Source organism: Homo sapiens, chromosome 5 (assembly GCF_000001405.40).
Source record: "Homo sapiens chromosome 5, GRCh38.p14 Primary Assembly".
Taxonomy (NCBI): domain Eukaryota; kingdom Metazoa; phylum Chordata; class Mammalia; order Primates; family Hominidae; genus Homo; species Homo sapiens.
In genome coordinates this window covers 38,539,435-38,561,201 of record NC_000005.10, presented here as the reverse complement: position 1 = coordinate 38,561,201, position 21,767 = coordinate 38,539,435, and the positions used below count along the sequence as shown (strand labels likewise).

At 40.3% G+C, this 21,767-nt stretch overlaps 1 protein-coding gene, 1 long non-coding RNA gene and 1 other non-coding gene across 10 annotated transcripts in view, besides 2 other annotated features; 2 read left to right on the top strand and 1 right to left on the bottom strand.

Moving 5' to 3' along the window:
* The window catches only part of LIFR-AS1 (LIFR antisense RNA 1), a 114,431-nt gene extending 110,015 nt beyond the window's left edge, over positions 1-4,416 (bottom strand). For both annotated transcript variants that reach the window (NR_103554.1, NR_103553.1), the window contains exon 1: positions 2,025-4,416. This is a non-coding gene — a long non-coding RNA (LIFR antisense RNA 1). The remainder of the gene's footprint in view (positions 1-2,024) is intronic.
* The window catches only part of LIFR (LIF receptor subunit alpha), a 133,736-nt gene that overhangs the window by 47,202 nt on the left and 64,767 nt on the right, over positions 1-21,767 (top strand). For 2 of the 7 annotated variants that reach the window (NM_001364298.2, NM_001364297.2), the window contains exon 1: positions 3,735-4,067. The exons of 3 other annotated variants lie outside the window; for them this stretch is intronic. The gene's annotated coding sequence lies outside the window, so the exon portion shown is untranslated. Of the gene's footprint in view, positions 1-3,734; positions 4,068-4,555; positions 4,869-6,136; positions 6,198-21,767 lie in introns of those variants that run through there. 2 more of the 7 variants (XM_011514042.4, NM_001127671.2) reach the window with 2 other exon arrangements.
* Positions 3,632-4,415: an enhancer, noted in NCBI's record as "H3K27ac hESC enhancer chr5:38556889-38557672 (GRCh37/hg19 assembly coordinates)". NCBI's record gives its function as "activates a minimal SCP1, AML or CMV promoter by ChIP-STARR-seq in naive H9 embryonic stem cells {active_cell/tissue: H9 hESC(naive)}" and the evidence as "EXISTENCE:reporter gene assay evidence [ECO:0000049][PMID:30033119]".
* MIR3650 (microRNA 3650) lies at positions 3,641-3,700 on the top strand. The gene has a single exon (NR_037423.1). It is a non-coding gene; the product is annotated as a microRNA 3650 (primary transcript).
* Positions 4,170-4,279: an enhancer, noted in NCBI's record as "active region_22494". NCBI's record gives its function as "activates an Ori minimal core promoter by ATAC-STARR-seq in GM12878 lymphoblastoid cells {active_cell/tissue: GM12878}" and the evidence as "EXISTENCE:reporter gene assay evidence [ECO:0000049][PMID:35858748]".

The window sequence follows — 21,767 nt, the reverse complement described above, 5'->3', positions numbered from 1 at the left end:
GGATATGTGAGTATCGCTCAGGTAAGTACCCTTAAGACAAATTCTTCCCAGAGACTGGGTCAGGAAAGGCTTTCTCCTGATGAAACTGTAGGACTCCTTCCACTTGACAATGAGAGCTATGCAAACCTTCATTTCCCCTATTTCACTGCTATGAGGAAGCTTGGGCTCAGTTTTATGCTCAAATACTATTGTTTGTCTCAGCCAGAATTTCAACTTTTCTTTTTTAAAAAATATTTGTCTTTCATTGTAAATAAACCACCTTAAGTCCCTTTTGGAAGAAGGCACGGTATAAATAAACAAAAGACAGGCTGGGCGTGGTGGCTCATGCATGTAATCCCAACACTTTGGGAGGCCGAGGTGGGTGGATTATGAGGTCAGGAGTTCAAGACCAGCCTGGCCAAGATGGTGAAACCCTGTCTCTACTAAAAATACAAAAAAATTAGCCAGACGTGGTGGCGGACACCTGTAATCCCAGCTACTCAGGAGGCTGAGGCAGATAATTGCTTGCACCTGGGAGGCGGAGGTTGCAGTGAGCCGAGATTGCACCACTGCACTCCAGCCTGGACGACAGAGCAAGACTCTGCCTAAAAAAAAAAAAACAAAAAACAAAACAAAACAAAACAAAACAAAATGCAATCCTGTTGGGGCCAAGCTAGAGATATAATTTATCAAATTACTTGACATAGCACCCTGAAATCATTGCATCTAAAAGAGAATATCCTAAACAGAATTTTGAGCAGATACTATTTTTGATGGTCTTTGTCATATTTTTCATGTCTCTCAAATAGCATTCCAAACCACTTTGGGTAAAGAACATAAAATCTAGAGAAAATTATCTGATTACTCTCAAATGTCTTCATGTTACAGGGATATAATTAAAGTTTTGAATCTTGTCCAACACTGTGCTCAAAAATAAACCAATTTAAGTCTACATTTATCAGTCAGGCTTAAAATGAAAAAAAGTTTCACTCATTTCAATTATTCACCGGTTAATAAACTATGCTTAATTTGTAGAATGTTTTTTTTTTTGCTTCCAAAATTTATTCCAGGAACACAGCCATATCTTCTCCTGCTGACTGATAAACACTATATATATTAGATCACACATAGAGAAGCCTGTTTAAGGGTCAAGATGTAGGTGATTTAATGAAAAAACCACCATCAACTCAAGGTTGCTGTTTCTGTGAGTAATTGATCTGTTCAAAAAACAAAGCGTTTCATTTCCAGAACTTTCATTACAGGTGTGACTATGATTTTTGTTTCATTTAAACATTATTATATAATGATGCATTTCAAATGCAATAGCATTTACAAAAAAGAAAATAAATTATCAAAACAAAAACAGAAAGAAGAGCCAGTAGCTGGGAAGAAGATCACAGACGTTTAGCACAAAATAATTAACTAAGAAGTCAATTCTGCTTATCCAGCAAGTACTTACAGCTCAACATTTTGCTACTTCAGTCCCATTCAATTTTAGCTTGTGACAAAACCTACACTTTTACTTCAGTTTTGTGACTTACTCTGTTTCATTATTTTATTTATTCAACAAACACTTATGGAGATAAGGCTCGTTGTATTATGCAATATAAGCATCAAACAAAGTACGTTCTTGTTCTGATACTTATTTTGCAACACTTCATGAAATTGCAAAAAGTAAATATTATATAAATTAGAATTTACAACACAGACTGGTCTATGACAAAGTAAGTAAAAATAGTCTCAATCCATGAGACTTGAAATTGAGCTGAAATTCCTTCAGGAGTCCATATGGATTAATTCAGATTTTTATACAACAGATAAGAAAAATTTATTCTTGACAGCACAGACAGCAGTCAGGTGCCCCAAGCTGGGTTATGGCCTGGTCAAATATTGCTAACATATTTTTAAAGCTCTTGCTTTGTTACAGAAACTCCGTTTTTCCTCACGAAACAGTGCGTATACCGCAACTCTTCAAATTGTACCTCAGTATGGTGTAAGGAATGTGGTGTTCCTTAGAAGCTGTGGCAAATCCCTAAATTTCTTACCTGTAAAATGGGTATACATGGAAGGCAGGTCTTCTGTGAAGCTCACACAGCATAAACTTTCGGGCATCTTCTCTAGGCCTCCATCCCAGGCCTTGGCAGGAGCCTTGGCGATACATTCACCTGGTCATATGTTTATGTACAATTTGCAAAAGCAATATATTGTCACCACAATTAGCTGAGACTGAGGTCTCTTTCCACTAGGACTTTCCCTCTGCCATTTTCCCTTCTATTGGGTGGTGCTAGGGCAGCCTGGACATGCTGTGGGATAGGGTCAGGCTTTGTGTTCCTACCCAAACCTCATCTTGAATTGTAATCCTCACTTGTTAGGGAGAGAAATGACTTGATTATGGGGACAGTTTTCCCGTGTTGTTCTCGTGATAGTAACTGAATTCTCACGCGATCTGACGGTTTTGTGTTTGGCAAGTTCCTCCGCTCACAATTCTTTCCGCTTCCTTGTGAAGAAGGTACTTGCTTCTCCTTCCACCACGATTGTTAAGTTTCCTGAGGTCTCCCCAGCCATGTGGAACTGTGAGTCAATTAAACCTCTTTCCTTTATAAATTACCCAGTCTCGCGCAGTTCTTTATAGCAGTGTGAGAACGGACTAATACACAGTATTTGCTTTTTCTTTAAGAGGACCACCCAAATTGCATAAATTGCAGGCCCCACAAAACCTGCATTACCCCCTAAGTGTGAGAATAGTACCTATTTCACAGGTGTGCTGTGAGGATTAAGAGGTAATGGACACATGGTGTGTATCAGGTGGATGTTAGCCATTATCACTACTCTGAATCTCCATCTTTCTATTATAGCAAGGCCACAGAAATGAGCATTTTATGTAATATTCTTAAAACTAAATTCTTCTCATGGAATGGGATTTTTCAACCCCAGGCAACAGGGCCACATCATGTTTTTCTTGGGCTCTAGGCCTTTTTGCCTTCGTTGAGCCCCTTACTCCATTAAAATATATATACATATACACACACACATATATACATACATTTTAAGATTGTATTAGCACAAAAACAAATATATTAATATATATTAAAATACTTTCTTAAACCTAAATTTTTTTTCCTTCTGATTTGAAAAGAAATTAAAATATTTTTTGTGGGCCTCTAAAAATATTGTGGACCTTAGGCACTGTGCCTAATGGAAAAGACAGTGACAGGATTGTGCAATATGAATAATGATAAATTTCCCAAACCATCAAGGACTCAAGAATAAGGGTAAACATCTTAAATGGGGTTGGTTTCGAGTACTTATAATAGAAAAATGTTATCCAAACAAGGTCTTAGGGGTAACAGGAGGCGTTTTTAGTGTTCAAAATACGCACATGGATGGAGTTGGCCATTAGGACGCTAATAGCGACCGTATCTAGCTGTGAAATACATATTTTTGTTTTGGGAGTCTACTTTTCAGTAAATGTCCTTTCAGGTGTTTTGTTGCCCATTTAATTACATGATCAACAAGGAAGAGTTATTTTACAAAACAAGCTTCATTTTGCCAATTTATAAATTGCTTTGGAGTTTCATCGAAAGGTCTTTAAAAAACACGTTGGCCTTGGTGCTGGTGCATCACATAAATCACAGATGAAACAAACAAGCCTGTTTCCTACTCAAGGTGTGTCTGTAGAGTCCTGACTGCGTGCCAGGGGCTCTGTCTGGCACATTTCTGAACTTTGCAAAATTAATTGTGCCGAAGAGAACACCATCAAACGCGTCCGGCATACAGCGTAAACATCTTCAGACCGTGATTCTGCGCCATCAAACGCTCTCCAGCTAATTTCATTTGGTGATTACTCTGCTAGAAAACCGAGGCCAAGTGAAACTGCGGAAATGGGAACAATGTACGGAGGAAAAATCTCACCCCATTAAGAGATCCGTTTCTTCTCCGCACAAATAAGCCCACCCCGCCTCCGAGGCAAGACTAGATGGCTCCAGGATACTCTCGGCGCGCCCGCTGGCCATCTCGGGCAGGGGAGCCCCACACCCGGCAGGAGGACCAGGACGCGAGCGGCGGCGCCTCGGCCCTGGGCTGTTTAGGTAATTCGCAAAGTCCCAACAATCATCCCCCTCTCCCAGAAGCTGGTTTTCTTGTGTGCAGTGGTTACAGAGGCGGCGAAAACACGGTTCCCCGCTTTCCTCTCCTCAAGGCACTGTTTGCAGCGGCAGCAGCGGCCGCATTCGGGGAGGCGCGGTCCTCCCCGCAGAGCCGTCGCGCACTCGGCCTTTCTCGAGGATTTGCCTGGGCTCGGCCGCCTCGCTCTCCCCTGCGCTTCCATGACCTTCTGAGAGCGGCCTCACCACCGGAGGCTCGGAGGAAGCACCACCCTCGGCGTCCGGGGCCCGTCGCGCGGCCGCGTTCCTCCGACTCCTTGGAGCACCCGCGCGCGCGGGCGCGCGGCCGGGGATCGGCGGGGGCGCGCGGGTTGGGGCGGGGCCGGGGCCGGGGGCAGGGGCGGGTCAGGGGCGGGGCCGGGCCCGCTGCGCCCCCAGCCGAGCGGCGTGCAGGCGCCGCCCCCGCGCGCCGCAGTCCCGGCTGGAGCGACTCGGCCGTGGCGGTGGCCGTTACCGTTGCCTCTGGGAGGCTCTGGCGGCGGCGGCGGCCCGCGGGGTTCGCGGAGCGCAGCGGGCCGCCCTTCGCCCGTGGCCGCCTCAAGCAGCCTCGCGCCGACACAGGGGAGGCGAGACGGCGGCTGCGGAGGCGGCGGCGCATTGTGCCCGGCCCCCTCCTTGGCGGCTCCTGCCCCCGGGCGGCTGTGGGATCTGGGCAGCCCCGGGGCGGCGGCCGAGGCTACAGAGCCGGCGGCAGGGGATGGCAAGATAGCGGCGCGGGAGCGTACCGTGAGTCCTGGGGGCGGGTGGGCGCGGCGCGGAGCAGGGGAGCCGCGGAGCCCCGAGCGGGGTCCCCAGGGGCGGCCCGGGCGGGGTGGGGCAGCGCTCCCAGCTCTGCGGAGCGTCCTAGGGGAGTGACCCCGGAGAGCGCCGCTCCGGGTCCCGCCGCTCTCCGCGCGCCCTTGGGTCACCCTCGTGTCCTGGGGGACGCGGACTCCAGCGCCCAGAACTTCTGCCCCACGCAGGGCAGTGAGTTCTGAGGCCAGAGGTTACCTGGGGGATGGGAGGGAGCTTGAAATGTTTTTCCTTCGGAGAGGTGACCTGCCAGGTGATTTCGTGCCCCTCTGCTTCAACTCCCCTTTAAACCTGTTCCTCGTCCTTTCTGTATCCGTAGTGCATTTGACTTACCTGTATTTTTATGTGCTAACTTCCGAAGGTGGTGTACTGGTTAAACCCAAAGTTAAAGTGTTGGAGGTCAAAGTTAGGCTTTGTGAAAGATGCCATTTCTGTTATGTTGTGTAAAAGCACAAAGCTGGATTCAGGAGTTCTGAGCGACACAAAACTGCACATCACGTGTTCTGAATTTACATGATTAATCTGAATTAATGTGATTTTTGCCCCCCACCCCCCACATTCCGCTACCAAAAATATATGAGGTCTTTTATTTGCAGTTGGGTATCTTTGTGTTCCTTTTTGAATGTTTAATGCAGTCAAATATTGTTATAACCTGTATTGTTATTGAGTGGCATTTATATGGAAATCGGTTCTTTGCATTTCTTTTTATGTGTCTTTAAAAGATACATTCTTTCAACAGAAAAGTTTCAGTTTAAAGTTTGTCTTCCGATTCCTGTTCAGTTTCAGATTAGTTTTTAATTTTAAAAAGTATTTGCTTGAAGTAAGATTAATGTGATATAGTAGTATCGTTTAGGCAGGGGTCCAGAAATGGTACAGAAATTAAATTTAAGGCAAACCTTTCCTTTTCACAAGTGGAAAAACCAAGGAGTTTTTTCAGCGCGAATGCTACTTGCCCTTCCCCTTACATGATTATTTTGTCACAGATCTGAAATTACATTTCACTGTTACCAGAGAGTTTCTTGTCTAAGCCTGGCAGAGAAAAGGAAGCCTAAGTATAATGTGTTTTTTAAAAACACGAGACCATTCTTTTAGTTGTCTTCTACGTTGACTTTATGCTTTATAGTCGGGGGCAACTGTTCATTTGGAAACTTCATTAGGGAGTTAGTTGCAAGCTCAATTTAAATATATGATGTGTTCCCAAGGTGATCGGAGCAGCTATTTCCTCTTCAAGAATTGAATTGAGACTTCTTTGCTTTGTAATAGGTGAGTGAGATCACTAGCAAGCCTCTTGATTAGTGGAGACTTGTATTCTCTTCTGGGGAATGAGAATCAGGGACTCTGCTGTTGAAGGAGCAAAACTTTTGTGATTTTTGAAAAATTTGCTTCTGAATGGTCATCCTTGACAAATATGTTGGTAATAGTGTGCATTTTTCTTACATTAATTGTGCAGCAGGTAATCTATTCACACTGGAGAAGATTCAATAGATATAAAAGATACGGAGTATACCTCTCTCCCATCATGTTCCACAGCTACTGGCTCCTTGTGTATGTCTTTCCAGACATAGCCTATGCTCATGTAAACATTCTGTACGTGTTCTTTTTGTTTGTATTCCTAAAGATGAGGACCCATTGTATACTGTGCACCAGCTCCCCCTGCCCCGCTTCCCTCCCCAGAGTACTAAATCATGGCAGTCTCCATTGGTATCTAAGAGAATCTGCCTCATTCTCTAACAGCTGCTGAGTACTCCATTAGGGATGGACCATAATTTATTTAATCTCTTCATTGTGATATATGTAGGTTGTTTCTAATAATTTGCTATGAAATTGTAAAGCATTAGTTTTTGAGGTTTTTAAGTGGATTTGGTTATTCCCAAAGGCCTAAAGGCAGTAGTCATTTGTTTCTTTATATCACCTTCCAGGAAATAAGTGTGCCTTCTCCCCAGCATACACTGTTTGCTTCTATATAACTTCACAGTAATCCATAAGAGTCTTTGGCATCTTTGCTGTGAAGTGGGAGCCATGATGGTCAGTAACTAAAGTCATTATTCCTTGGGTAACAACTTGGCTCTTTGTTTTAACAAAAGAAAAGAAGGAACAGATACACATTTTAAAGAATAATCTGAGGAAAAATTCTTAAGTGTTTAAATATTTTTGAACGTAGAGAGGCAGCTTGTACCTTTGATTAAATTGAAGATGAGGGTAGTTTATGTTTCATAAAATTCGGTTGCCATTAGGCACTCAAATCCCTGCCTTCTGTAGATTATCACCAGTATCTTATATTTTAATGTTAGTATAATATGGTTACAGATTTTACAGTTTATGATGGGGTTAATAACTTTTAAGGGGATGGATGCTTTTAAAACATACTTAGCTCTTGCTTTTCTTTAAAACAAAAAAATTGGGGTCTCGTCAGCATGCTCTTGAAAAAGAATAAATTGTAAAAGTAATGCTAATGCTAGAAATTGAGCCTAATACATTATAAAGCTTGAACATTAGCCAATGTTGAGCTTCAGTATTTTCATTATGCTTATTTTTGAGGGCTTTTAGGACTAGTGTAAGCTATCATAATCTTTTAAAATATATACATACATATAATATATATATATATATATATATATATATATATATATATATATATATATATAGTTTAAATGGTCCAAACTCCTCTTAGAATTTAAGGCATTCTCTTGCCTTTTATTTGGTACTGTTGTGATACAAAACTGCTAACGTTGTCTGTATTTTTTCTGAAATAGGTGTTTATTGGGCATCTGTTAATATTCCAGACAACTTTCTAGGGACTAAATTATGGCACTGCACAGGACAGACAGACCCTGCTATAATCTCAGCGAAGGAGATGGATAAGAAGCAAAGATACAATAAGTGATGGTGACTAGATAGTGCTAAGTGCTGTGAAAGAAAGCAATCAGGGTTGCATGGCAGAATGGGACAGGATGTGGGCTGCTGTTTTACATCAAGTGGCCTGAGAAGCCTCTCTGGGGTGGAGGGGTCTGAGCTGAGAGTTGAATGAGGGGGAAGAAGCCTATGATTTTGGAGATCTGAAAGAAGAGTGGCTTAGGCAGAGGGAAGGGCAAGTGCAAAGGCCCTGGAGCAGGACTGAGCCTTGCATACCTGAGGGACAGAGGACCACCTCTGTGGCTGGAGTTGGTGAAAGGAAAGGAGAGAGCTGCAGGCAGAAGAAGAGTGGGCTGGGGTTGGTGCCCATATGTGTTGCATGTCAAGAAATGTTTACAGACGTGGGAAAGATGTGAGTGGTGGAGTTCCTCTATAGGCTGGAAGCTCCAGGGGGCTAGCAACACATCTGCTTGTTACCCATTGCATTTGCAGCACCAGGAACCACCTTCATCACATAGTGGGCTATGAATAGTTATTGAGTAAATGAATAATTAGAGAATTTACGAAATAATCTTACCTGCTTTTGGTCAAAATACTTAGATTCGGGAGTCTTTTAGTTTTCCAGCTTGGCTCTGGCCTTTGACATCAGCCAATCGGTTATACTGTTATCACTTTTCTTTCAAATTATCACTTTTGTCAAACTGTTGCTTTAAGTCAATTACACTTGACTGCTCTTCCATGAAATTCAAGTGTAAAACCTTAAAAACAAACCTTTTCAGTAAATTATAGTGATTTATGAGAGATTTTCAGAAAGGTGAGCATTTTTATCTTTTATTTCCGTGGAATAGCCATTTGTATAAGTGTAAGAGTTCAAAGATGCCTTTTGTGTGTGGGTGTGTGTATTGAATGTTTTAATTCTTTGGGCCAGATGACAGACTAATGAGTAGATAAAATATATGTAGGTACTTTTATTCTCACAGGAGGAATGTGTGCCTGCCCTATAGGGAATATCAATAATTTGTGGCATTTCCTTTTCCCAACTTCTAATCTGTCATTCTAAATATTAATTGAAAACTTGGGAAATGAGTTTTATGCCAAGCAATTGTTATAGATGTCTAATAAGAATCTACATCTTTCTCCTGTGACTTTTGGACTCCTGTTCCATATTAGAAGTGTTGTGATCTTCCAGAATGATGGTTTTTAACTTTTTTATTTCCTATCTTAATCAATTAATAACTTAGCATAATAAGCAGTTTCTACTTAAGACAATTTTATTTCCAACTGTTTCTCTTAAGTTCTGTGCAAATTATATGTAAAGGAGGGTTCTTTAGGTCCTCAGTCTTCAGTAAAGAAGCCTGTGTCCTTTTGTCCTGATATAGTAAAAGCTCTTCAGTAAAAGAGTAGAAACACCTACCAGTTGGGGTAAATTTAGAGGCTTAGATGCCCGAGTTAAAGTACTTTTACCAATTCCTTTACCTTTCCTTTTGTGAAATATGGGAATTGCAAATTTGTCTTACGTTGTCTAAAATGACAACACATGCATTCTTATAGGATGTTGCTGCTGGTACTGCTCAGGTGAGCAAAGATATGTGTTTGGGAGATACTATTCTATGCTTTCATGTTGGAAGTTGAGGAAAAACTTCTGGTAGGTGGATTTTTTCTATACTTTTGCACAGAGGTGAAAATCTTGGCTTCCAATCATTCTTCTGGTTTGTAAGGCAGATACAGAGAAAGAATTGGAATCATTGTTTATATGCTATATTACTAAGCGGCAGTATCCTTAGAGGCCACAAGGCGGTGATATCACTACCTAAAGTGTATGTGTGGTGCTCTTCCAGAGAATGCCTTGGAATACTGAGGCCTCTTGCAATACCTTCTTTTAACTTCTCCCCAAAGTGGGCTTCTCCAAAGACACCTTGAATCCGAGGACTGTTGAATTGTGGAACATCTGGTGGAAAATAGCAAGAGGTGACAGAAATGCTAATGGGGCAGTGAGATGTAGACTTCAGGCAGAATTGTTGTACCTGTCGAGTTGGAGGTAAGGTGAGTGGGAGAGAGATGAGAATCGCCACCAGGACTTTAGGCTGCAGCCCCTGAGGACACCCGAGTGCCACAGTAAGCACTAAGGCGCCTGCTGCATGGGGACAGGATGCCAACTGTTTCCATGCAACGGGCCTGGAGACCCATAGCCCTGCCATGCTTCATGCCTTAGTGTTTATAATGCAGTACAAAGGTGAAGGAGGCAAGACCATTGCAAAAACATCTCCATAGAAACAGTTAAAGTTAGGAGCATACATTTTCTTCTTGCTGGAACTTCATCATGACTACATTTATTCCTTGAAGTTGCCTGGATCACCACAATTTTACTGTAAATGTAAAATTGTTCTTTTGGGAGAGTCTGATTTTGTGGAAAAACTATTTAGAGCTTAAAATGCATAGCTCTTATGAATAATAGAAAATTAAGCACTTAAACAAAAATCAAGTAAAGTAGATAACTTGATTGAAAGCTGGAAGGCCCTTCAGATCCATCTGGTCAGCTTCTTAAGATAAAGAAACTTAGACCCAGAGGTGGTGTTATAATTTGCCGAAGAATCCAGGAGTCCTGATTGGCAGTGTAACCATGATCTTCGGACTCTTTAAGTGCAGGGTTCTCAACTCCTCTCTAGAACCAACAGCTCCTCAAGGGCAGGAACTTTTGCGAGATTTACCACCGTGTCCCTAGCATTAGAACAGTGCCTAGTCTATAGTAGACGTTCACATATTTGTTGAATAAGTGATTATCTAAAGGAATTTTAAGAACTTCAGATTGCCATGTTAGCTATAAGACAGTACTTATACAATCTGAAAGAATATACAGTTTTATGAGTTTCTTGTTAGAAAAATAGAGCATGTTGCTATTAAAACCCAAACTCTTAAGCCAGACAGGCAAACGAAGGTGCAGTGTTTTACATCTTAGCTTGGTACCTTTCAAAGTCTGTTATCACTGGATTTTCTAAAGCCATTCTGTTAAGTTCAGCCTACTGGTATCTGGTATCATTAAGTTTTATATTTTGTATTTGAAAACAGATGCTTTAAAATCTAGCATTTATTGTTTGAATTTTTCCCTGTTTTTTTTTCAGTTGTGCTTTATCAATAGCTCAGCTATTTTAAAAATTTATGGCCATATGGGGATATGATTGTTTAAAACCAAATCTAATCAACTGGAGGATTTTGGAAATTGTCACTTTCAAATGCTGTTGGTGGGTGTTTCAATTGTTATAACTTTACAGGAGGGCAATTTTGTATTACTCATCAGAAGCCTCAAAAATGTGCCCCGTCCCTTAGTCAGGCATGTTCACCGCTAGCAATGTAAACAAAGGAGAAACGATAAAGTATGTGTACAGTGACCAGTCTTTAGCAGTGGTTATAGTGCATTTGTGCACCATACTCCTGTCGATACCTTTCTCCTCGCAGTGATTCTTAAGAAGCCTACTTACTGGGATGTACCAAAATCTGGAGGGAGGTCCTCTGAAATTTGGAAAAAACTCACTTCCAGATTCTAGTGACCACCACAAAAAAAATACATTTAAAAAAACCCTCCTCTAATTTGCAAAAATAATTTTTGTAAGTTTTTTTTTGTGTGTGGAAACGGAGTCTCGCTGTGTTGCCCTGGCTGGCGTGCAGTGGCGCAGTCTCAGCTCACTGCAAGCTCCGCCTCCTGGGTTCACACCATTCTCCTGCCTCAGCCTCCCAAGTAGCTGGGATTATGGGCACCCGCTACCACGCCCGGCTAATTTTTTGTATTTTTAGTAGAGATGCGTTTCACCGTGTTAGCCAGGATGGTCTCGATCTCCTGACCTCGTGATCCGCCTGCCTCGGCCTCCCAAAGTGCTGGGATTACAGGCGTTAGCCACTGTAACCAGCCTGTAAGTTTGTTTATAATAGTTATAAACTAGAAACACCTTAAATGCTCAATAATAGGGGGACTCATTAAATGAATTGTGGTGCATACATGTGATAGAATACCCTTTCTTTAACAGTGATGTAGGGGAATATTTATAGATGTGGAAAGATACTCAATATTTGTAAACTGAAAAAGCAGATTGTAAAACATATGGGTACGTTGATCCTTGTTTTTGCTTATGGAGTGTGTGTGTGTGTGTGTGTGTGTGTGTGTGTGTGTACAATTTTCTACATATTATGTAGTAAAATGCCAGGAAGACTATAGGCCGAATGTTAGGTGATACTGTCTTTCATGTGTGGAAATTACAATTGACTGTTATTCTTTTTACTTTCCTGGATTTCCCACACATAAAGCATGCCGTGTGGTGAAGAGTCTTGGATCAGATCCCATTTCCCATTTGCTACTACTGGTTGTGTGAACTTGGGCAAGTTTTGTATTTCCTTATCTGTGAAATGGGGATAATAATATCCAGCTCACGGTGCCCACATGTAGTATTTAATAAACGTTACCTTGATCTCACTGATCTGATATGGTGATTAAAGCCAGTATTCTATTCTTAATACAGAATTTCCAAGCAGAATAATTGTGTTATGTAAGTTTTATCAAACTGTTACGGAAAGCATTTCAGGGCATTCTGACAAACTATTTTGTTGCTTCTGGTCACTGGGAAATACTTTGTCGAGTTTTATTTACTTTAAAACTGAAATGCCTTCCATTGCCAATACATTTTATTTTGAATTGAAGGCATTTTTCTTCTTTTTCTGTTGTTGTCTTGAATAGTCCTGTATAAATTTTTGAAGGTCAGGGTCTGATCTTTCTTTCCTTTTATAGAGGTGTTAGAGTGGGATGTGAGTCATTCAAGTCACTGTTGAGTGCCTTTTCTTTAACAGGCACTAGGTAGGCATCAGATTTGCAGCAGTGTCCTGGACCCACATGTCTCTGCCCTGTGAATGACATATGGAAGTGACCAATGTGGTTCAAAGCCAGGAGGCCCACTCAATAAATAGATAGTTACTGCAGTTAAGTATCAAGTAGTTCTCATTTTCTCTCCTCTGATTTTAAAAGGAATTTTGTTGTGATGTTACATCTTACTGAACACAAACATTGCCTCCTGCTTATTCAACAAACTACTGTATATGAGGAACATACTAGGTTATTTCACTTCGTTGACATTCATGAATGATTTAGTGATGACTTACATTACACAAGTGTGAGAATATCCTAGGTTAATAGGCTTAAAATTGCTACTATATATCTTCTGTGAAGGATAATCTTTCATTATCTTAAGTATGACCTCATGCCTTTTTGAGATTATCTTTTGTAAAATTATTGAAAATGAGCTCCTCCTAGCAAATCTAGGATGCATGGAATTTATGGCTATCCCACTTGAGAAATTCTAGCACATGATCTTACTGAGAGAGAGTGGCAATAAAGCATTTATAGTCGTGTACCATAGAAAGATGTTTAGGTCAGTAACAGACCATATATATGATGGTGGTCTCATTAGATTATGATACTATATTTTTACTGTACCTTTTTTATGTTTAGATACCCAAATACTTCCGTTCTGTTACAGTTGCCTTCAGTATTCAGTACAGTAACGGTGCACAGATTTATAGCCTTAGGAGCAATAGGCTATTATACCATATAGCCTAGGTGTCTAGTAGACTATACCATGTAGGTTTGTGTAAGTACACTCTATGATGTTCACACAACAACAAAATTGCCTAGCACGTCTCTCAGAACTGTATCCTTGTCATTAAGCACACGTGACTATATTTAAAAATAATGTCTCCATTTGACAGTGTGTAAAACTACATTAGTTTTGTAATTAGTTTTATGTAGGGACTTTTTTTTTAAAGTTGGCAACTGTTCTAAATATTTTGATAACATGTAGACCCTCAGTAGTCGTGAAAGATACGTCTTGGAATCTATGACAAATACTGAGCTTGCATTTTATTTTCCTCATACGGCCAAATAAAAAAAAGAAAATTTCTTGAGTCATGTTTTCATGTTCCTGTGTAGAATTCATGGTAGGATAAGTTACATCACAGGTTGTGTAACCAACAGCAAAGTCACCATTTTACTTCTTTTTTTGCTTTAATAAATTAGCCATATTTTGAGAGGGTGTAAGTTAGGGGAAGAACAAATTTAGGAGAGTTATGAATCAAGAATCATTTTTGGACACAGTTTAAGATACGTGTGAGACTTGCAGGTGACAAGTTGTGCATATAGATATGTATTCTATCTATCTCGTCACACTGGAGGTGACAAGACTTGCAGGTGACAAATTGTACATATAGATACATATTACTTCTATCTCACATTGTTCTACCCCATACCATTGCCTTACATGGACTTTACTCCCCTTGCCCCCACTGGAACTGGCAGTTAGCTTTCTTTTGGGGGTGTTGGGGATTTACTTTTCACAAAGAAACACTGTATGAGCTGCACTGAGTATGTAATGGTGACTGGAGAGCAACCAAGCTGTGTTGACATGTAGACATTGGGTCGCTGGCTAGACTTAGGACTTTGCCAACTCACCCTTTCCTGAAGGCCAGCTTCAATAAAATTACAGATGACTGTTTTGAAACTTTTTCAGCTCACAAATAGTCAAAGCTGTGAGTGCTGAACTCAGTACATTCCACAGGCTGCATTGCTGGGATCAAAAACTCAAATGCTTACAGGGACAGTGGACGTTACATAAATGGCAGAAGTGGGCCTGTCCTGCCTTTTGTCTTTATGCTTTTGATATAGAGACAATCAGAAATATATCACTTTCTCTTTAACTCTACTGCAAGATAGACAACATTGACAATCTAGATGGTAAATGGCAACTGGAACTTGTCTCAGTTTTGAAGACCAGTAAGGAAAGGTGAGAACTATGAAAAACTCCAGAACACATGTTCTTAGGAAGGAGTAACTGCTCTTACCTGGAGTTGATTGTTATCCTGTGAGATGTGGAATGAGTATTTCCAGAGCTTCTTAATTTTGATTTTTAAACACTCCATTTTGCAATATTGACAAATAATTCAAGGGTTTTTAAATTTTGTTTTTTTTATGTATATGGTTCAAACAAAACACATCTAAAGGCAAAGCCTGCCAGTTTTAAACTATGGTAGGTAACATTTCTTTGCCCATCTTTTCCTTCACTTTTTTCATATAGTTCAGGTCATACTGGATATTCAGTTTTGTTCCTTATCTTTTCATGTAATGGCGTATATATGTTTCTTCATGTTGCTAAAAATTCTTTAGTATGTATTGATGACTGTGTAACATTTTATTCTCTGGATGAACCATAACTTGAGCATTTACATTGTTTTAAATTTTTCCAGTTCGTAATTAAAGTTACAGTAAATATATTTAAGCATAAAGCTGGATTTTTCCCCTTCTCCAATAAATTTCACATTCTTCCCTTAAAATTGGTTTATTGAGTCAAAACAACTAAATATCTTTAAGACTTTTGATACAGTTGAATTTTCTCCACATTTATTTGAATACTAGGAAATAAAATATTTGTTCATTTTATTAGCTGGTTTTATTTTGTGATTTATCCATTATTTGATTTTACATTGGATTTTTTCTTTTTTTTTTTTTTTTCTTTTTTTTTGAGATGGAGTCTCGCTCTGTCACCCAGGCTAGAGTGCAGTGGCGTGATCTCGGCTCACTGCAAGGTCCACCTCCCGGGTTCACGCCATTCTCCTGCCTCAGCCTCCCACATAGCTGGGACTACAGGCGCCCGCCACCATGCCCCGCGAATTTTTTGAATTTTTAGTAGACACAGGGTTTCACTGTGTTAGCCAGGATGGTCTTGATTTCCTGACCTCGTGATCCGCCCACCTCGGCCTCCCAAAGTGCTGGGATTACAGGCGTGAGCCACCGTGCCCTGCCCTGGATTGTTATTTTTTTAAACATAAGTAGCTTTTTAAAAATTATAAAAGTAAAAATGCTCATTTTATAAAAATTAAGGAAGCTCAGGGAATATAAGTAAAAATACAAAAAAAAATTTTAGTTTCACCATTCAGAGATAACCCCAGGCAACATTGTTACATATCCTTCTAGATTAATTTCTGTGCATATATATATGTGTATACACACACACACATACACACACACACACATATATTTATGTCTACATCTCCAAATATGTTAAACCGTATGTACATTCTGTCTTGTAACATGATTTAATTTTTTTTTTTTTTGAGACGGAGTCTTGGTCTGTCACCCAGGCTGGAGTGCAATGGCGTGATCTTGGCTCACTGCAAGCTCCGCCTCCCGGGTTCAAGTGAGTCTCCTGTCTCAGCCTCCTGAGTGGCTGAGACTACAGGCGTCCGCCACCACGCCCGGCTAATTTGTGTGTTTTTAGTAGAGATGGGATTTCACCATATTGGCCAGGCTGGCCTTGAACTCCTGACCTCAGGTGATCCACAGGCTTCAGCCTCCCAAAGTGCTGGGATTATAGGCATGAGCCACTGTGCCTGGCCATGATTTAAGTTTTTTAACTTATATTAATAATCTTCCATGGTGCATAACTGCACACTAGATTCAGTTTATTCATCCATTATTCAGTTTACTTAACAAATATTTACTGCACACTTTTTGTGTGCCAGGCAGTTTTTCTAGCTCTTGGGGGCTATAGCGCTGAAGAGGAGTGCTGAACAGGAGCCTGCTCTCTGTCTCTTCCTCCCCACCTATGCTGAACTCTCAGGTCATGCTGGATATTCAGTACTGGATACTCATAGAGCTCAGCATCTAGGTGGGGAGGGAGGGACAATAAGTCAGGAATTATGTATGCATAGATACCTCTAGGTATTGATGTGTACGCTGAAGGATATAAAATAGGATACCACAAGGAAGAGTGAGCAGTGTGTGGTTGTGGTGCGGGATTTGGGGGAGGGAGGCAAGCAGGGAATTGTCCCCCTTTCTAGGTGATGAGTAGAGGCCTTCCTGAGGAAGTGAGTGTTAATTTGAATGATGAGAAGAGTCAGGGGAAGGTGATTCCCCATGATAGGAATGACAAGTGCCAGGGCCCTTGGTGGATCAAGCTTGGTGCATGTGAGGAATGGAAGAAGGCCCTGGAGGAGACTGGAAGCCGGTGACCAAAGGAGAGACGTGTATGTGAAGAGTGTGGAAGGGGATGCAGGACAGAGAGTGGGGTGTGCTTATAAGGAGAATCCACTAGACGGTTTTAAACTGGGGAGTGACATGATCTGATGGCTGTTTTTGAAAGGTTCTGCTTTGTGCGGAGTGGATTGGTGGGGAGCAAGACTGGAAACAAGAGGACCACTTCAGAGGCTCTTATAGCAGTTCAGGCAAAAGAGGTTGGTGCGCTTAATTTGGGGGTGGCAATGAGGATGATGGGTGTTTTTTCCTTCGGCATGCATTTGAAGGTGTAGCAGCTGGTAGTACATGGGGAGTGGGTAGAGGCCGATAGGGAAGGAAAGGAATGACTCAAGGGTGACTGCTAGGTTTTTTTGCTTGAATAAATTAGCTATATTTTGAGAGGGTGTAGGTTAGGGGAAGAACAAATTTAGGAGGGTTATGAATCAATCAGTTTTGGACATAGTTCAAGACACCTATGAGACTTCCAGGTGACAAGTTGTACGTATATCTGGAGAAAAGTCAGGTAGAAAGTGGCATATAAATCTGGGAGGAAGGAAGGGTAAGATAAATTTTTAAATTACCACATATAGATTTTAATTAACATGATTGAGAAATTATTAAGAGTACAGAAAGAGAGAAGTGGGCTGGAATGCATGCAGAGATGTCATCTTCTTTACTCAATCCCAAATTGATGAACATTCAGGTTATTTCATTTAAATTATAAGTGCATTTAGTGAACACACCTTTGAAATCTTGTCTGATATCTCCTGAGGAGAATTTCCTAGAAGTAGATCATAAGTTGCATGTGAAGTGCTTGAATGGAGCCTACCACATAGTGAGCTCTTGATAAATATTTGTAGCCTTGGTTTATCTTCATCATTCTTACTGTTATTGAGTGAAAGGCTTTCAATTGGAAAGACAACATAATGGCTCACAATTCAGACTCTAGAGTCATAATTGCAAGTCTAGGTTCAAATTCTGGCTTTGCTCCTTACGAGCCACAATACTTTGGATAAGTCACTTAATCTATTTCCTCATGCATGCCATGTGAAAAATACCAAACCTCTTTGGAGGGTTGAGAGAGTACAGGTTAAGTGCTTGGGCCTCCCTGGAGCATGTGGCCTGTGGCTTTACACAACTACAGGTTGGGTTCCAATTTCTCCACATTGTCCAGGGTAGTATCTAGTATCATTCTTATTAACCTTTTCCAATCAGTAGAAATATGGTTTCACGTCATTTTCATGTTTATTGCCTATTTATATTTCTTAGTATGTGAGTTGCATATTTTTATTTCTATTGAAGGTATTCATCTTGCTTTAGCATCTTTTTTAGCCATTTGTATATCCTAAGTATAGTGACACTTGTCATATTTGTTGCACATATTTTTTCCCAGGGAAAAAATCTTCATTGTGCTCAGTTTGGTGAGAAAGATGGTTTTATAAATCATTGCTATATAATATTATATGTAGTAATGTAAGCATATGCATTACGACCTGAGAACACTGGGGAAGGTTGGATTTGGAACAGTGTGCACTGAAATTTGAAGGACGAGTTGATATTTGTTAAAGGGACAAGGAAGAGTGGAGTGGGAAGGACATTCCAGGTAGATGATCTGTCTGTGCGGGAACACTGAGGCACCACAGAGCCTGACATGTTTACACATTTGGTGGAACTTAAGCACGGGGCCACTGTGAGGAGGTGCACAGAGATGGCACTGGGGACTTAGGCTGGCATGAAAAAGCTAGAGCCTCATGCCCTGTTCAACTTGGGACCTTTCCCTGTAGGCCAGGGAGAGCCATGGAGGATTCTAGGCATACAAAACTGAATTTGTGCTATGGGAGGATCAGAAGTCCTGAGACCGGTTAGAAGCATTGCCTTTGTGCAGGCTGAGGGAAAGAGGCCCCAACTAGGCCCGACTCTGGAGGTTTGTCCTTATTTACCTGGTAAAGTTGAGGGAGTGGCACAAGTGGTAGTCATAACTAGAGGCATCATGCTGCCTCTACCGTCTTCTATCATGTCCTTTTTATAAAGCTTCTGATTAAACTTACATAATAAAAAAGGATTTGTTATTTAAAGCTCTCAAACACAGATTTATTGATGCCTTACCCTCAAGTTGCTAAACGTTCAAGTGTCCCCACATGTGGGTACTTCTTCTATGAAATAGGTAGTAGCTGGCACTTATGGTGAGATGGGATTTACTAGAGTAAGATTTACATTGAGCAAGAATTTATGATGACTTGGGCAGTAATAAAACCAACAATCATAATTTATGTTTCATGTTAATACTTTGATATTAGATTATCTACTTATTTTTCAAACTAAAATGAATCCTCCAATTTTAATACCACTGGAGGACACGATTTTAGACATTATGTGTCTGATAAAGTGAGAAGACAAAAAAGTAGTCCTTCTTAATATTTTTATGGCCATCTTACAATATTGGCCCAGCTTATTAACCTTTTTTTGTGGTTTTCCCGTGTGTTGCTGCTAAATCATATCTCCTCCCATCTGTATTTGTTCATTTTCTGTGTGTTATTGTTATCAACATTATCATTTCATTTTGGACCCTGACATCCATGCTGAATTTATTTTATTGGATTTATTTATTAGAATCCTATTATTACACCCTGTATATTTGCTATTTTGCCCATTTTTTTCCATCCACAGATAAGTTGGATATGATTCCTATATCTTCATGCAACTCATTAATGAAGATACCAAGAAAAACAGAAGTTTTTGATATCTGTCTATATCACTTTTGTCCAGGTTGACATCATCCTATGAATTAGCACTCTGAGTAAGGTTGATCATGTGATAAAAGCAGCCTCTTCACTCTGTTTACACAGCTTGAATTTCTTTACCTTGCTAATACTCATCTTTCATGTATTAGAAAAGATTTTGTTCAAACAGAGATACATTTTGTTGTTTCTGATCCTTGCTTTTCCCAGTACAACAGCTTATCAAGTCGAGGCTAAGGATGGGCTGACGTGCATGGGTCTGAGGTTTTCTAGGATTCCTTTCTTAGTACTGTTGATCATCTTATCCAGGATCAGTTATCAAGCTCACAGGCCTCTGTGTCTGTAGGATTTTATTTCTTAACAAGAATGCCCCTTTCTGAAATAGCTTTGCCAAATATCAGTTATTTTAGGTGCTGTTATGTTTTTCATATGCTGTTCCACTCTTACATAGAAGATGTTTCACCTGCTTAGATGTTGTAGACCGTGGTCTGAAGCCAGAGCTAAAGGCTTTATTTTAGTTGTTGTTTTGAGAAGCATAATCTAAGATGATGCTTAAGATTTTGATATCTGGGGTTAAATAATGTCATAAAGAAAAAAATTTTGAATTATTTTGGAGTGGAAAGCTTCAGATTCTGACCCTAAAGAATGTTAAGAAAGCATTCAGGCACATTTTGGTCAACATCTGTGCATTGAAATCTAGGTCTTAAAACAGTTTATATTTTAAGATTATTTCAGCAGCAAGACAAGAATTTTTTAATGCCAGTACATTTTGTGACAGGTTAACTGGCTCCCTAAGAACTATATTTGGCTTGCAAATGTATTTTGTTTGGCCCACATAGTGTTTTTTTTTTAATTGGAATTAATTGCCAGCATTTAAAAATAAGGATATTTCATAATAATAATAATAAAAAAAACTAAAAAAGCAACAACCTGGATTTCCTGCCCTTTTGGAAAAACTGGAAGATCTGTGGCTGTACTGGCCGCTCGTCCTCTGTGGTGTAATACAGACACAAGGAGCTGGCGAGGGGCTGCCCGCCAGCCTGTGTCATGTGAATGGCTCCAGTCATTTCATCTGGCTGGCTCTTGGAGTATGTTTGAGTTTGCACCTGCTGAGTTGAGAGCTTAACCAATTAAAAGTGTACTTAGAGTTGGAAGGAGAACAGTAAGATGGCAGTTATTTTCCATTTGTTCTCTGAACATAGACTGTCTGATCTTTGTTATAATGTGATTAGTGGAAGTGCTTGGTAGAGCAGGTGGTGTTTCCCCCAGCAACAGTATTCACCGGACAGGTCGGGGGAGAGCTGAATTTCTAATCACATTGTACATCTACCAGTTTGTTCCTGCAGGTGACAAACAAGGTTTTCTGAAAACAAAACAACCGTAAGTTTCTTATGATACTTAAAGTAGGGAAAGCAGGTGCTGGGTCTTAGTTGTGTAATTTGAGAGCTAAGACCTGAGATGTTAGGTGATTTATCTGCGAGCCCCTACCTGTCACCTATTCAGTGGTAGAATAGGGACTGGAGTCCAGGACTCCTGACTCCAGCTTAGTTGCTCATTTTACAGTTTAGTATAATGGCCTGGAGCTGAGATTTGCAGTCAGAGTTGGCTACAGATCCCACTTTGCTCCTTACTAGCTGTATGACCTTTCTGTGCCTCAGTTTTCTTATTATAAAAAGAGGGAAATAATATGAATAATACCGACCTTATAGGATTGATATGAAAATTAAATCCAATTTTTCATTGAAAGAACTTAGAAAAGTGGCTGCTCCTTAATAAACAGTATTTAAATAATGCATAATATCTGAAATATATGTATAAATTATATTTTACATGGTAGAGTTAGCTAAAACCAGCTTGTTACCTAGATAGAATTATTGTGTAATTAGTATTTTTCCCCCTCCTAGAATTTAGAAAGGCCTTTAGGGATAGTTTTACTCTATGTATTACCCCCCCCAAAAAACCAAAAAAACTTCAATTTGAGCCAGTATTCTTTTTATTAATGAATTTTTGTATAGCAAACAGGTTCATTGAAAAGCATAAAGTTTGTCAGCTTACTCTTCAGAATGTAGACAAATAACTGAATGGTATGAAAATATTTTAAGTCCTCACCGAGGACTCTATTTGAATGGATTTGCTTCAGTCACCAAATAAATCTTGTACGTGTGGTGGATATAAAGCACTCCTAGACTATGGATT